Below are 17068 nucleotides of genomic sequence, written 5' to 3'. Positions count from 1 at the left end.
GATGATGAGTTCATGTCCTTTGTAGGGACATGGATGAAGTTGGAAACCATCATTCTCAGCAAACTCTCGCAAGGACAAAAAACCAAACACCGCATGTTCTCACTCACAGGTGGGAATTGAACAATGAGAACATTTTTTTTTAAGTTAGCTGGGTGTGGTAGTGCACATCTGTAGTTCCAACTACTTGAGAGACTGAGAAGGATTTTTTGAGCTCACAAGTTAAAGGCTGCAGTGAGCTATGATCATAGCATTGCACCTCAGCCTGGGTGACAGAGGGAGACTGCCTTCAAAAAAATAAAAAAAATAAGAAATAAATAATACTGGGTAAAGTTCAGCACCCATTCAGACATTGAATAGAAATGGAAGGGAATGTCTCATAGATGGTATCTATCAGAAAATTACAGCAGACATCATGCATTAATGGTGAAACATTAAATGCAGTTCTATTAGAGAACAGCAAGAGAAGGATATCTGCTGTCTCCATTTCTATTTGTTAATGCAGCAAGTAAAGAAATAGAAATGTAATGCAAGATTGAAAAGGTGGAAATAAACTGTCCTTTACTGATGGTGTGATTTTTTTTTAACCTAGAAAACCCAAGAACATGAACTGAGTAAACTAAGTTTTGAAAGGTGGTTAATTAGAAATTCACCATTCAAAAACTCTATAGTTTTGGCTGGGCATCGTGGCTCATGCCTGTAATCCCAGCACTTTGGGAGGCTGAGGTAGGTGGATCACTTGAGGTCAAGAGGCTGAGATCATTCTGGCCAATATAGTGAAACCCCGTCACTACTAAAAATACAAAAAAAATTAGCCGGGCGTGGTGGCACGTGCCTGTAGTCCCAGCTACTCAGGAGGCTGAGACATGAGAATCACCTGAACCCTGGAGGCAGAGGTTGCAGTGAGCTGAGATCATGCCACTGTACTCCAGCCTGGCAGACTGGGACTCTGTCGCAAAAAAAAAAAAAAAAAAAAAAACCCAAAAAACCAAAATCAAAACTCTATATTCCTGTTACACAATAGCACCAATAGACAATGTAAGAGAAAAAAAAATCCATTTCACAAAGCAACAAAAACTTTCTTACCCAAGTAAGAAAAAAAAACTTAAATATGTAAGAGTTCTGTGGGGAGATTTTAAAATTTTACCAATGGAAATGAAATGCCAGTTTTTAATCAAATTAATATTACTAATGTCAGTAAATCCCAACAAGGTTTTTCGTAGAACTTTATAAATATCCTAAAATGATAGAAAAGATCACTATGTTCGATTAATGAAGACGGTATAGAAAAAAAACAACAACAAAGGAAAGGGGCTTGTCTTAGTAGAATTGAGATCATAATAAAGCTATAGTAATAAGCTATAGTAAAACAAGGTTTTAATGACACAGAAATAGACAAATGGCTTAGTGGGACAGAATAGACTCCAAAAGGAGACCTACACTTAATGTGGGAATCTGAGATCAGTGAGAAATGTAAGCTCGTTAGTAAATGGTGTTGGCACAATTGATTATCAGTATGGAAAAGCTACAAATTAAATTCAAGAGGACCTTCAAGAGCACCAGTAGACAACCTGTTAGAATAAGAAAGGTTAGCATGGTTGCTAAAGATAAGAACAGTAAACAAAAAATGATAGCATTCACATATCAGCATTAACCTATCAGCAAATACATTTTAAAAATATTACATTAACTTTAATGGCAAAAACTGTAAGCATCTAGGAATAAATCTAATAAAAGGCCTTCCTGGAGAAGATTATAAAATGGTTTTGAAGAAGAGCTGAATGAATGTAGAGAGATACACCATGCTTATCAGTGGCAAGACTCAATGCTATAGAGCTGTCAGTTTATTCTTAATAAATTTGTAGATTGAGTGCAATTTCAGTCAAAATCTTAATAGGTTTTGTTTTTTGCTCATGCAGAATATGACAAACTAATCCTAAAAATCATCAAGGAGCAGGAATGGTTAAGATAAATTTGAAAAAAACAATTTAGTCAGGGCGTCTTGCCCTACTACACATCAAGATGTAAATAACTGTAGTTGTTAAGGTGGTGCTGTTGACATGGGAATATGTAGGTAGACCAGTGAAACATAAAGGAGAACACAGAAACAAAGCCAGGCCCATATATTAATAGGATGCATTGAGAAGAACACAACATCTGTTCTGTGTTTTTCCTGTTAAGGATATATATCCTAAACTTAATTATGAGTCAACACAGTCTTATCAGACAAACCCAACTGAAAATCATTCTATGCAATATGTGGCCTGCAACCCTTCTAAAATGTCTAGTTCATGTACATCAACAAAAGGCTGAGAAACCTCCAGCCTGAAAGAGATTAAAGATTGCAGTTCAGACTACCACATGCCAAGTGCGATTCTGAACTGAATCTATTTCCTATAAAGAACATCCATTCATTATTGGGACAAGAAGGGAAACATGAATGGATTCTTAAGATGGGACTATGTAGTAATATGTGTTTAATATTGCCCCATAGATCATTTAGTCTCTGTTCATTCATTTCAGCTTTTTCTCCCCTCTTCTCCATGCTTCTTTGGACTGTTTTTATTGTAATGTCTTCAAGTTCACTAATCGTTTGCTATACAGTTTCTAATCCATTGTTAAGCTCCTGCGGTGAATTTTTCATTTCAAATAGTTGTATTTTGCAGCTTCAGAAGTCCCATTTGAGTTTTTCAAAACATAATTTACATTTCTTCCTACTTAACGTTCATGTCTTTCTTTAAATCCTTTAGTAGAAAGTCCTTGTCTGTTATTTCCATGATCTTTTTCATTTCTGGGTCTGTTTCTGTTGACTGTTTCCATTTTCTTTCCTGGTTATAGATCACATTTTCCTGATCTTTTGTGTCTATTAATTTTTTTATTTTATGCTGGACATTGTAATGATTATATTTTGGAGTGTCTGGACCTTGTCCTTTTAGAGTGACAAACTTTGTTTTGGCAGGTTGTCAAGTTACTTGCAATCAGCATGATCCTTTCAAGACTTGTTTTGTTGGGGGTGGGGTTCTTGAATAGCTTTTACTCAGCTGCTGATTTAGTCCTCCTTCTAACACATGACTCTTCTGCGGTCTCTGCTGTATGTTCTGGATGTTCATTAAGTCTACTCCACTCTACTTGTCAGAACTCAAATTTCTCTCTTTACATTGTGAGCTCTGAGAATTGTTTAGCTTACAGCTTTCTTGTATTTGATCTTTGCTTAGCCTTGTGGAGTTTTAGGTTATACATGCACAATTTAGTGTTTAGCCAAAATTTTCTTGGTTTTTTGTTTTGCTTTGTTTTCAAGACAGGCTTCCACCATATTGCCCAGGCTGGTCTTGAATACCTGGCCTCAGGCATTCCTCCCGTTTTAGCTTCCCAAAGTCCTGGGATTACAGGCATGAGCCACTACATTCATGCCTGTGTGAAGCCAAAGCCAAAATCTTAAAGGCAGATTTTTGGAGCCCTTTGTTAGTGTAGCTCCCTTTTCTTTGGTATTCTTTTCTGAATGTGTCAGTTTAGCATCCATGAACTCCAGCTTTGTCTCCTCAAGTTCAGCAAGACTTGGGCTACCCATTTTTCTGTACCTCATTCTGGAAAGCACCTCAGTGCCTTACTAGAGAGAACCTAGCTTTGCATTACCTGCTGTCCAAAGTCTGAAAATAGTTTTTTCATGCTTTGTCCAGTTTTCTAGTTTTTTATGGCAAGAGGGTATCTTCCTCCTTTTTGTAATAGCTTCCCCTTCATATTTTATTAATAGCTCAGTTTGGTTGCATTATTTTCTCAACTAGTCCCTTGAGTAATCTCAGCGTAAGTGGTTGAATTGATCCAAGGTTGGGGATTAAGAATGTGGTCAGGGGACAAAAGAATCAAGTTATTGGGAGTGGTGGAAAGCAAATAGTTGAAGCAGTGGTTCTCAGAGTATGGATGGAGGATCCTTTTGGGGATCCATAGGGTCTTCCCACTTCTAACTACGTGTGAGGGTGAAATGTCTTAATATACTTGAACCAAAATAATAAGCAGTGGATTCAATGCAAAAGCAAAGATAAGAATCTGTTTTTTAAAAGTTAAACCACGCATTAAAGAGATACACAAAAATAGTAAAACGATACCACTCAGTTTTCTAAGTTGTTTTTGTTTGGTTTTTGTTAGCCTGTAGTGGGTTTATTATTTTGTTAAAGTGAGTTGATACATAAATAACTTTGAAATGTTCTATCTTTATTTTTTATTTTTTTTTTTTTTTGAGTCTCGCTCTGTAGCCCAGGCTGGAGTGCAGTGGTGCGATCCTGGCTCACTGCAACCTCTGCCTCCTGGGTTCAAGTGATTCTCCTGCCTCAGCCTCCCAAGTAGCTGCGACTACAGTTGCATGCCACCACACCTGGCTAATTTTTGTATTTTTAATACAGATGGGGTTTCACCATGTTGGCCAGGCTGGTCTTGAACTCCTGACCTCAGGTGATCCACCAGCCTGGGCCTCCCAAACTGCTGGGATTATAGGCGTGAGTCACCGTGCCCTACCTCAGTCTTTATTCCTAACACACTAAGTATTAATTAAAGATAGCCCACAACATCAAAAATTGTTTGGAGTCATCAATTAAGATTACAAAGGGGTCTTGAGACCTAAAAGTTTGAGAATTATGGAAATAAAGCACCATAGATTCTAATCTGTTTAGGGAAGGAACTGAAGGCATTAGGAATGCAATGGACTGTGTAGAAAGGGAACAGATTAAAGAATGAGGCGTTTCTATTCAGTTTCTATTTCCTGTTGGATGGGTGTCGATTTCTTGACTTTCCTGCATCCTTGTGTGGAGGTGCCGCAATTTCCCATTCTAAACCATGGTTGACTTGACTATTTTTCTTCTGCAGTTTCTGCTGCCTCAGGATTATTGAGCCCTTTGCTTTCATTGAATCTACAATTTTACCCAAAATAAAAGTACTAACCTGTGTCATCCACTTTAACCTTGAATTTCTCTGGGACATTGCCTGTTCAAATATAATCCCTATTACCCAGTGAGGAGAAATAACATTTATTGGTTATTATTAGCCCATATTTTAAATGGATTTATTTTGTGTGATAGAACTATATATTCAAAGGAAATAGTAAGTTATTCATCCCAGGAATGTGGAGTGGCAACATGACAATGAAAGGCAACATCTGACTTAGGTTTGAAATTAATTTTGTTCTTGCTTTGGGAAATCAGTTGCATTTGTATTAATTAGAAGCACGGAATACATGTCAAAGTAATAATCTGCCCTTTTGGACCATCTCTGTTAATGCAGATGAGCACACAATTTATTTAAATAAAAAAGTATTATATGATTAATTTTAATTATATATAGATTGATAGTAGTATTTTATGTAATTTTAAAGTATTTTTGTATTTCTTACAGTAATCCTAAATTGGAGAGTCAGAGAGTAAATAAAAAAGTCAATAATGATGCCTCACTTAGAATGCACAATCTATCCATTTTGGTGAGACAGATAAAATTTTATTACCAGGTAAGTGCTCTTTTTAAAAATCTGGGGTTTTAATAACTACTTACATTTTTGTATTATTTAGTATCAGTCATCTCACAAATATTTAAACGCTTATTATATGCTAGGTTCTGATCTATTTGCTAGAGTTAGAGTAGTAAATAAGATAGTTTATTTTTTATGAATGTTAAAGGCTTAAGCAAGCATTTAATAATTTTCTAATGTTACAAATGACTATTGTATTTTATGTTTTAAAAATCAGGTCCCAGTTTCCTGAGAACTTGCATAGTGTAACATTTTGTTGTTAGACTTCTTGAATTATGCCTTTGAAAAGTGTACTTCCATTTTTTTTAAAAAAAAAACCTGAATTGGATGCATATTTTCGTTTTTAAATATGAACATTGTTGAGGATTTCAATATACCTCTCAAAATTGCTATATCTGCATTGCATAAATTTTGGTATGGCGTATTTTAAAAGATGATTATTTCTATGCATTTTCTAATTTCTGCTATGATTTATTTCACTTACGAGTTACTTAGAAGTATGCTTTTAAATTTTTGAACATGGTATTTTTCAAGTAACCTTTTTGCTTTTGATTTTTGGTCAAAGAATGTGGTTTGTATAATACTGATTCTTTGATATTTGTTAAGAATTACTTAGCTTGGCCTAGTATGTCGTTGTCAGTTTTCTTTAAAGTTCTATGTGTGCTTGAAAAAGTATGTATTCTCCAATTGTTTGGGCGCAGAGTGAGAGCAACCTTGTTTGTTAATTGTATTGTTCCAATCTTTTACAGCCTTGTTGATTTGTCTTTTGAGTGATTAGTTATTGAGAAAGAGGAGTTGAAATATCCCATATGATGATGAATTTATCAAATTTTGTCTTATAGACTTTGAACCTGTTATTAGGTGCAAATAAATTTAAAATTGTTAAATCTTCCTGAAGAATTTGATTATTTATCAGTAATTGTCTCTTTTCCAATTTTTTTTTCTTTTTTCTTTTTCTTTTTTTTTTTTTTTTTTTTGAGATGGAGCCTCACTGTCACCCAGGCTGGAGTGCAGTGGCGCAATCTCATCTCACTGCAACCTCTGCCTCCTGGGTTCAAGCGATTCTCCTGCCTCAGACTCCTGAGTAGCTGGGACTATAGGTGTGCACCACCGTGTCCAGCTAATTTTTATGTTTTCAGTAGAGACAGGGTTTCACCATGTTGGCTAGGCTGGTCTCAAACTCCTGACCGCAAGTGATCTGCCCCCCTCAGCCTCCCAAAGTGCTGGGATTACAGGCATGAGCCCCCATGCCTGGCCTATCAGTAATTGTTTCTACATGTTTTTCCTTTCTCCTGGTTTAAAATTTTTTCACTCTTCCTGTTTTTTCAGAGGTGACTTTCAAAATCATACATTTTATACCTAAACATAGGAAAGGCCAAAATTAATGAGTATCTTTACCCTTTTATGGAATAGTGCTATGACTTTAGAATGTTTTAATTCTAGTCATTCTCTTTTATGACTTTTAAGCTTTTCTTGTCTTGTATTTTCGGGTTTTTTTCTTTACCCTACAAATTAAATATTGAGAAGTACTATTAAATAAATAAAACCAATGTTTCTTTTTTTTTTTTTTTTTTTTTTTTGAGATGGAATCTCAATCTGTTGCCCTGGCTGGAATGCAGTGGCACGAGCTCAGCTCACTGCAACTTCCGCCTCCTGGGTTCCAGCAATTCTCCTGCCTCAGCTGCCCGAGTAGCAGGGATTACAGGTGCCCACTACCACACCCGGCTAATTTTTTTGTATTTTTAGTAGAGACTGGGTTTCGCCATGTTGGCCAGGCTGGTCTCGAACTCCTGACCTCCTGTGATCCACCCGCCTCGGCCTCCCAAAATGCTAGGATTGTAGGCATGAGCCGTGCGCCCAGCCCTTTTTCTTTAGCTCAAGCTGCATGTTTTTCTTTGAGAATATTTGTCTGAAAATGCCTTTATTTCACTCTTGTTTTTGGAAGATAGTTCTTTGTTTGTTTTAGTTTTTAAATAGAGACAGAAGGCTGGGTACAGTGGCTCACACCTGTAATCCCAGCACTTTGGGAGGCCGAGGTGGGCGGATCACTTGAGGTCAGGAGTTCGAGACCAGCCTGTCCAACATGGCGAAACCTTGTCTCTACTAAAAATACAAAAATTAGCCAGCCTTGGTGGTGGGCACCTGTAATCTCAGCTACTCAGGAGGCTGAGGCATGAGAATCACTTGAACCCAGGAAGCAGGGTTTGCAGTGAGCCGAGATCATGCTGTTGCACTCCAGCCTTGGCAGCAAGAGCAAACCTCCATCTACAAAAAATAAAATAAAATAAAATAAAATACAATCTACAAAAAATAAAATAAAAAAGAGACAGAGTCTCACTATGTTGCCCAGGCTGGTCTTGAACGTCTGGGCTCAAGCAGTCCTCTTGCCTCAGCCTCCCAAAGTGTTGGGATTATGGGCGTGAGTGATTGCACTAGGATGAAATACTTTTAAGTATGCAGTTTTAGGTTGACAATTATTTTTCTGTCAGTACTTTGCACACTTAATTCTTCTGTCTCTGTATTTTTTTTTTTTTGAGACGGAGTTTTGCTCTTGTTGCCCAGGCTGGAGGGCAGTGGCATGATCTTGACCACTGCAACCTCTGGCTCCTGGGTTCAAGTGATTCTCCTGTCTCAGCCTCCTGAGTAGCTGGAATTACAGGTACATGCCACCACGCCCGGCTCATTTTTGTATTTTTAGTAGAGACAGGTTTCATCATATTGGTCAGGCTGGTCTTGAACTCCTGACCTCAGGTAATCCGCCTGCCTCGGCCTCCCAAAGTGTTGGGATTACAGGTGTGAGCCACCATGCCTGGCCTCTCTGGATTCTTTTTGCTCTGGAGAAGTTAGCTCTCTAATTTTTGTTACTTAAGCTGTCTTTTTTTTTTTTTTTTTTTTTTTTTTTTTGACATGGAGTTTCACTCTGTTACCTAGGCTGGAGTGCAATGGTGCAATTTCAGCTCACTGCAGCCTCTGCCTCCCGGATTCAAGGGATTCTCCTGCCTCAGGCCCCTGAGTAGCTGAGACTACAGGCACGTGCCACCAGGCCCGGCTAATTTTTGTATTTTTATGAGAGGTGTGGTTTCACCATGTTGGCCAGGCTTGTCTCGAACTCCTGACCTCAGATGATCCACGCGCCTCAGCCTTCCAAAGTGCTGAGATTACAGGCGTGAGCCACCGCGCCCGGCTAGACTGTCTTTTTTCTTTCAAAGCTACTTTTAGTATTTATTCTTCTAATATTTGTTCTAATCTGGTATCTTTCAAATATTTTTATTGATATATGTTAGACTTTCTTACTCTATTTCTTGCTTATTAAACTTTTATTTATTAAGCTTGTGCTGCATTCTGAGTCTTGTTTTCAGAACTCTCTAATTTACTAATTCACTCCATATTTGTGTCAAATCTTCTGTTTAACCCATTGATTATATCTTTCATTTCTGGAAGATTTGGTTCTTTTTACATTACCTTTTCATTTTGCTCATTAATCATTTTCTTTTCTTCAGATATTTAAAATTTTTCCGTTTTAGATTTCATATCTGATTATTCAGAAATCTGAAATATGTACAGATCTGGATCTGTCCTTTGTTTTCTGCTTGCTGTTTCTTTTGGTAGTGGTGGTGATAGTAGTAGTGGCAGTGGTGGGGGTGGCAGTGATATGTGTGTGTTTTAATTGTGAACTCATTTTTTGGGGGGACTTTATCTGTGCCAATTCTTTGTATTCAAGTCAAGGATGCATTGCTTCAGAGCAGATTTGTTGCTTGTTGTGCAACCAACCCTGAATCACCTTTATTTTAAGCAAGTTTAGCCAGGCGCGGTAGCTCATGCCTGTAATCCCAGCACTTTGGAAGGCCAAGATGGGTGGATCACTGGAGGTCTGGAGTTCCAAACCAGCCTGGCCAACGTGGTGAAACCCTGCCTGTACTAAAAATACAAAAATTAGCCAGGTGTGGTGGTGCGTGCCTGTAATCCCAGCAACTTGGGAGGCTGAGGCGCACGAATTGCTTGAACCAGAGAGGTAGAAGTTACAGTAAGCGGAGATCACACCACTACACTCCAGCCTGGGCGACAGAGCGAGACTCTGTCTTTAAAAAATATATATATATATATATGTATATATACACATATATACATATATATACGTATATATACACATATATACGTATATATGTGTATATATACACATATATACGTATATATGTGTATATATACACATATATACGTATATATGTATATATATATAATTTATATATAATATTCAATATATAATTAAATATATAATTAAATATGTATATTTAAGCAAGTTCATATAGAAGCAATATTGTTGTAATGTAGAAAATTAGAAAAAAAATAGATAATATAGACATAGTTCTAGTGCCAGGAAATTAGCACTGTTATCACCTGAATATATATACACTTCTGGATTTTTTTTTTTTTTGAGATGGAGTTTTGCTCTGTCACCCAGGCTGGAGTGCAGTGGTGCAATCTCGGCTTACTGCAACCTCTGCCCCACCTGGATTTTTTTTTTCCTTATGTGTTTATAAATTATGTTTTTATGTGTTTACATTTTTTATTGATTGATTGAAACAAGGTCTGTCTTTGTTGCCTAAGTCACAGCTCACTGTAGCTAAGACCTTCTGGGCTCAAGCAATCCTTCCGCCTCAGCCTCCTAAGTAGCTGGGACTACACATGTGTGTCACTATGCTATATTTTTTAATTTTTTGAGACAGAGTCTGGTATTGTCGCCCATGCTGGAGTGCAGTGGCATGGTCGTAGCTCATAGGTCACTGTAGTCTTGAGCGCAATTACTTTCGCACCAACCAATACTTTAAATTGTCTTCAGAAATAGGTCAGACATTTTATATATACAGTTAATAGACTTACTGAAATAATTTTTTTGTTCTTATTATATTAGAGAGGGTGTGGTTTAATATATGACACATTGCAAGTTAATATTTTCCAAATCAATGGAATTCTCATCAGCCCTTAAATTACCTTCTCTTAGAAAAATCAGATTTTGGGGAACGACTGTAGAAAACTTAAATTTTTTGTATGTCATATGCCCCTGAGAAGATGTATTTGAGGCGAAGTATTTTAGTATTTAGTATTTTAGTATTTCTTTTCTTTTTTTTTTTTTTTTAAGACGGAGTCTCGCTTTGTTGCCCAGGCTGGAGTGCAGTGGCACAATCTTGACTCACTGCAACCTCCGCCTCCCGGGTTCAAGCGATTCTCCTGCCTCGGCTTCCTGAGTAGCTGGGATTACAGGCACCTGCCACCACACCTGGCTAATTTTTTTTTGTATTTTTAATAGAGACGGGGTTTCACCATGTTGGCCAGGCTGGTTTCAAACTCCTGACCTCAGGTGATCCTCCCTCCTTGGCCTCCCAAAATGCTGGGACTACAGGCATGAGCCACCGTGCCGGGCCATTTTAGTACATTTTGATTATTCTGACTCACAAAGGGGAAAGTGAATTTGGATAAGTTAAAATTCAAAAGTGTATGTTTCCCAAAAAATTTTTTTGATAGGTTGGTAAGCATCAAGGTCATCTTGTAAAGATGATTCCCAGGGAGAAAAGAATATTGACAGAATACCCTAAGATGATTGTTGGAGGGAGGATTATTTCAATTTATCTTTTCAGTAATGATAGGTAAATTTAAATGTCAGTACTCTTTTGTTTTTTTTTTTTTTCATTTTTATGATTTAGAACCTGTAAAAGCTCAATACAAATTCTAATGTCATTCACATTTTCCCTCTCCCGTTTCTTGAATGCCAGATATTCTACCTGGTACTGGTGCTACAGTGGTGCATAGGACATACCATGTCCCTATTTTCATGGAACTATGGTACTAGTAGAGGAATAATAGATGAGTAAAAAACTAAGCAAAACAATTTCTGTTGTGATTAATAATATAAGACTAATGAAGTAGTAATATGAGAGGTCATGAGAGAAATAAGTGGTAACATTAGATTATCAGAAAGTTTATCAAAGATATACTTCATTATGGTTAAATGGCAATTCAGACCTTTTCAAATAATCACTTGATCCGTAGCAAACACCTTTTTGTCTTGCAAATGAGTATTCAAAAGTTTTCAAGTCAGAAAATAAAGTAAATTATAGCTGTTATGTAAAATTACCTAGGCTCTTAAAAAATTTATTTTTCTTTAAAGTTATTTTTAGCCCTGTGAATAAGGGAGAGATGGTGAATTTGAGTATCAGAGACAGCATTTACAAGTAAACAAATTTTAGTTGTCTATAGAACCCTGTCATAGCCAGTGTTTGGTGTGACTATATTGGCCGCAGTTTGAATAAGTATTAAATGAAGAACATTGTTGTTCAAACACCACTAAAATAATGCTCTGAACCATTTGAGGCTGCAAAGGAAAGAACATGTTACAATTAGGAAATTTATTAGGAAATGTTTGTATGGTATGATGTCACTAGTATCAAAAACAAAGAACAGATTCCAGTACCATTAATCCAGTTGCTACAGAAAATAGACACTTTTTAGGTTTTTCTTTAACTTCTAAAAAAATAGATACTTTGTAGGTTTTTCTTTAATGTCTGTTATAATAAGCAACATTTGGAGTGTTAATAAAATTCAGTAGCCAAGAAAATGAGATTCTATGTGTGTTATAAAACAAATGTTTTATATTCCATCATATTTTTGACACTGGTCAGGTATTCTTTCCTTTTAATGCCATTGATTTAATTTTTCCTATAGTCTACTAAAATATGATAAAATAGGCTTAATTCTCTTCATTAGTAACATGGATAAACTGACAGATATGTAATAGTATGATAAATGTTGTCATGTACTGAATTTTAGAAGTAGATTATACGAGTCTCAAAAGAGGGACTGTCATTTCTGTGTATTTTAGAATTCTTTGAACATATTTTTAATTCTGTAGAATTATGCAGTTTTAGTAACAGTGTTTTACTCTGTGTGGTGATTCAGGAAAGCGAAGTGAGGCCTGACCTTTGCCAGAAGTGTTAACTTCTTACTGTGAAGAAAGAATTATGGATAATTTCTTGGAAGAAGGAAAGGCTAATTTAAATTATCTTTGAATAGTAACTAAATAATGTTTATATCTGGCATATTTGTGAAGTAGTCTTTCTTACAATGCATTAGCAGCATAAGCTTTAACTCACAAAAATTTGTAATGTATAGTCTGTATAGTCATGTGCACTTTTTTTTTTTTTTTTTTTTTGAGACAGGGTCTCACTCTGTTGCCCAGGCTGGAGTGCAGTGGCACAATCTTGGCTAACTGCAACCTCCGCCTCCTGGGCTCAAGCCATCCCCCCACCTCAGCCTCCCTAGTAGCTGGGAATACAGGCGCATGCCACTACACCCGGCTAATTTTGTTGTTGTTGCTGTTGTTGAGACAGGGTTTTGCCATGTTGCCTCGTTCTCAAACTCCTGAGCTCAAGCGATCCATCTGCCTCAGCCTCCCACCATGCTCAGCCAGTCTTGTGTACCTTAACAACAAATATATGTTCTGAAAAATGTGTCATTAGGCAATTTTGTCATTGTACGAACATCATAGAGTGTACTTACACAAATGTAGATGATATAGTCTACTACACACCTACGGTATATGGTGTAGCCTATAGCTCCTAGGCTGCAAACCTGTATAGCATGTTACTGTACTGAATACTGTAGGCAGTTGTAACACAATGGTATTTGTGCATTTAAACATAGAGAAGGTATAGTAAAAATATGGTTTTATAATCTTATGTGACCACCATCATATATATGGTTTATTGTTGACCAAAAATGTCATTACACGGTACATGCCTATATATCAATAAAAAGGGGTTTTAGATGGTCAACTAAAAACTGTGGTTGGCTGGGCCCAGTGGCTCATGCCTGTAATCCCAGCACTTTGGGAGGCCAAGGCAAGCGATCATTTGAGGTCAGGAGTTTGAGACCAGCCTGGCCAACATGGTGAAACCCTGTCTCCAATAAAAATACAAAAAATTAGCTGGGCATGATGGCATGCACCTGTAGTTTCAGCTACTTGGGAGGGTGAGGCAGGAGAATCACTTGAACCCAGGAGGCAGAGGTTGCAATGAGTCGAGATCATGCTGCTGCACTCTGGCCTGGGTGACAGAGCAAGACTCTGTCTCAAAAAAATAAAGAAAAAATTTTTAAAAATGGTTAATATACTATTTTTAAATGAAAAAAGTTATACAAAGCCAGCTAACATGTGGTGGAAATGAAATTGTAATATCTTTCAAGGAACATCTGCTTATTATTTTCCTATTACCATAATCTCTGCCAGTTCTTTCTTTTTTCTGTCTTTTCTTAATGATTGTAGTTCTCCAAATCTTTCTGAAATGTCTTCACGCCAGAATAGAATTTCCACTTATTTAGTGAAACTTTGCTTTAATGGCCCTGAAAACATTCAAAATCTCTATATTTGAATACTTGCATATCTTTAAAAATTTTAACGTTCTCCTCATCTCCACCTCCACCAATACTCTTTCTCATTCTCTGCTTAATTTTTATTTATTTATTTATTTTTGAGATGGAGTCTCGCTCTGTCGCCCAGGCTGGAGTGCAGTGGTGCAATCTTGGCTCACTGCAACCTCCATCTCCCAAGTTCAAGTGATTCTTGTGCCTCAGCCTCCCGAGTAGCTGGGATGACAGGTGTGTGCCAGCACATGCAGCTATTTTTTTTTTTTTTTTTTTTTTTTTTAGTAGAGACAGGGCTTTGCCATCCTGGTCAGGCTGGTCTCGAACTCCTGGCCTCAAGTGATCCACCCGCCTTGACTTCCCTAAGTGCTGGGATTACAGGCATGAGCCACTGCACATGGCCTCTGCTTTTTTATTTATTTATTTATTTAGAGACGGAGTTTCACTCTTGTTGCCTTGGCTGGAGTGCGATGGCACAATCTTGGCTCACCGCAACCCATGCCTCCTGAGTTCCAGCAATTCTCCTGCCTCAGCCTCCTGAGTAGCTGGGATTACAGGCATGCACCACCACGCCTGGCTAATTTTCTATTTTTAGTAGAGACAAGGTTTCTCCATGTTGATCAGGCTGGTCTCAGGTGATCCACCCACCTCAGCCTCCCGAAGTGCTGGGATTACAGGCGTGAGCTGCTGTGCCCAGCCCCTCTGCTTTATTTTTATCCTTAGCATTTATCACCAAAAACACTTACTTGTTTTATTGTCTTTCTTCTCTTACTAAAATGTAAATTCCATGAGAACAAGGATTTCTGTTTATTCACTGCTGTATTTTCAGTGTCTAGAATGTCTGGCAGATAATTGATATTCAATAAATATTTGTTGAATAAATGACTGCCCTGATTTTCTCAAAACCTTTTTCTCTTTCAATTGAATTGCTGAAATACTTTATTTCTCCGTTTATTTTTATAGGTTTCTTATAATTTGAGTTAACAAATTGAAGTATCTTCATTAGTTTATATACATGCATTATCAACTTTGACCTGTTTGTTAATTTGTTCCTCGTCTTAGTAAACTCATCTTGGGCTCATTTATATATTCTTTTTCCATTTCTTTAATACTTTAATGATGAATTTCTTTAGAGCTAAGTTGAGTCTGGGGAGTCTATGATGATATAATAAATCTTAACAATAGCAGTCAGTTTTTAAGCATCTACTCTCTTTTATGTCTTGTATATTTTTTAATATTACTCATAAAATTGGAATGGGGAAATAAAAAGACTTTTTACAAAAATATAGCTAGAATCCAGGCCGGGCGCAGTGGTTCATGCCTGTAATCCTTGCACTTTGGGAGACCAAGGTGAGTGGATCACTCAGTGTCAGGAGTTTGAGACCAGCCTGGCCAACATGATGAAACCCCCTCTGTACTAAAAATACAAAAATTGGCTGGATGTGGTGGCGGGCACCTGTAATTCCAGCGATTTGGGAGGCTGAGGCAGGAGGATCGCTGAAACCTGGGAGGCAGAGGTTGCAGTGAGCCAAGAACGTGCCACTGCACTCCAGCCTGGGTGACAGAGCGAGACTCCGTCTCAAAAAAAAAAAAAAAAAAAAAAAAAGTATATGTGTATAAAAAATCCTCTGAAGAACCCATAGGGTAACCAATAAGACATTTTAGAATAATTTGCTTTTTAAAAATTTGTATAATTTTAGCTGCCTTTTTTCAACCTAATGTTAGTACTTTTAGACATAACTTAATACTTGAAAATAGAGTTTTTCCTCATTAACTCTAAGGTTTTTAAATTATCATCATTTTTGAAACTTTTTACTTTTGTTTCACTTCCTACCCTCTCCCAAAAAAGGCATATGTATTGTACATCATGGAGCTAAAATTTAAGCCTGGGTGTTTTGACTTCATTCTACCCAAATACAATGTACTGGTCATTTAGATTCTACTATACTAGAGTACATTTTTAGATGATATGGAGGTAAGTTTGAATTTAGCAATTTGCATCATCCAAACATAGACTTCATAGCGTAAAGATGAAATTGTATTAACAAAAAGTCTTTGGTGATACCATATGGTGTAAAGAGTGTGTGAGATTGCTTTCATCTTTGTGGGAGGACTAAATTAACAGTAGAGCATGGGGAAACAGAGTAGGCAGGAAGTGGAGAATCAGCTGAGGAAGAAGGTGGAGGAAAGAGGTAGTGGACCACATTGAAGATTACTATCCATTGGGACAATTTTGCTTATAACAGTGTACCAACATAGAATGTTACATAGTAAGTCAGTAAAACTAGTTGCCTTGGGAATGTAAGTTGTTGTTTCCGGTTGATCCATCAATTTTGACTCGTTAGTCAAAAATAAGTGACGTAAATGAGTTTTATCTCTAACATCTTTAAGATAAAGCTTTAAAAAAAATTCAGTGTCTGTTAAAATTTAAAGCTTCCCGGCCCGGTGCGGTGGCTCACACCTGTAATCTCAGCACTTTGGGAGGCCAAGGCAGGCGGATCACGATGTCAGGAGTTAGAGACCAGCCTGACCAACATGGTGAAACCCTGTCTACTAAAAATACAAAAATTAGCCAGGCATGGTGGCGTGCGCCTGTAATCCCAGTTACTCAGGAGGCCTAAACAGGAGAATCTCTTGAACCTGGGAGGCGGAGGTTGCATTGAACCGAGATGATGCCATTGCACTCCAGCCTAGGCGACAGAGCAAGACTCTGTCTCTAAATAAATAAATAAAAATAAAAATAAATAAAAAATTAAAACTTCTCTTTATGAAGGTGAATTTGAAGGCTCTTTCGTCTGACTTAGGTTATCTTCACAAAGTAGGATATAGACAAAACAGTGATTTAAGAAAATACAGCTCTCTTATTTATGATTTAAAAAAAAAATCTCGCTGGGCACGGTGGCCTATGCCTGTAATCGCACCACTTTGGGAGGCCAAGACAGGAGGATTGCTTGAGTCCAGGAGTTCAAGATCAACTTGGGCAACATAGCGAGACCTTGTCTCTATAACAAATAAAAAATAAAAACAAATGAGGCAGGAGGATTGCTTGAGCCTGGGAGATCGAGGCTGCAATGAGCTGTGATTGCACCGATGTACTCCCATGTGGGTGACAAGAGTAAGACCCTGTCTCAAAAAAAAAAAAAAAAA

General features: G+C 37.4%; 1 protein-coding gene across 4 annotated transcripts in view; it reads left to right on the top strand.

Annotated features, from left to right (window-relative positions):
* CCDC88A (coiled-coil domain containing 88A) overlaps window positions 1-17068 on the top strand; it is a 132015-nt gene that overhangs the window by 25591 nt on the left and 89356 nt on the right. For all 4 annotated transcript variants that reach the window (NM_001254943.2, NM_001135597.2, NM_018084.5 and 1 more), the window contains exon 3: window positions 5380-5488. In NM_001254943.2, coding sequence (NP_001241872.1) covers window positions 5380-5488 — 109 coding nt within the window. The remainder of the gene's footprint in view (window positions 1-5379; window positions 5489-17068) is intronic.

Source organism: Homo sapiens, chromosome 2 (genome assembly GCF_000001405.40).
Source record: "Homo sapiens chromosome 2, GRCh38.p14 Primary Assembly".
NCBI classification, from domain to species: domain Eukaryota; kingdom Metazoa; phylum Chordata; class Mammalia; order Primates; family Hominidae; genus Homo; species Homo sapiens.
This window is presented reverse-complemented; position numbering and strand designations above follow the sequence as displayed.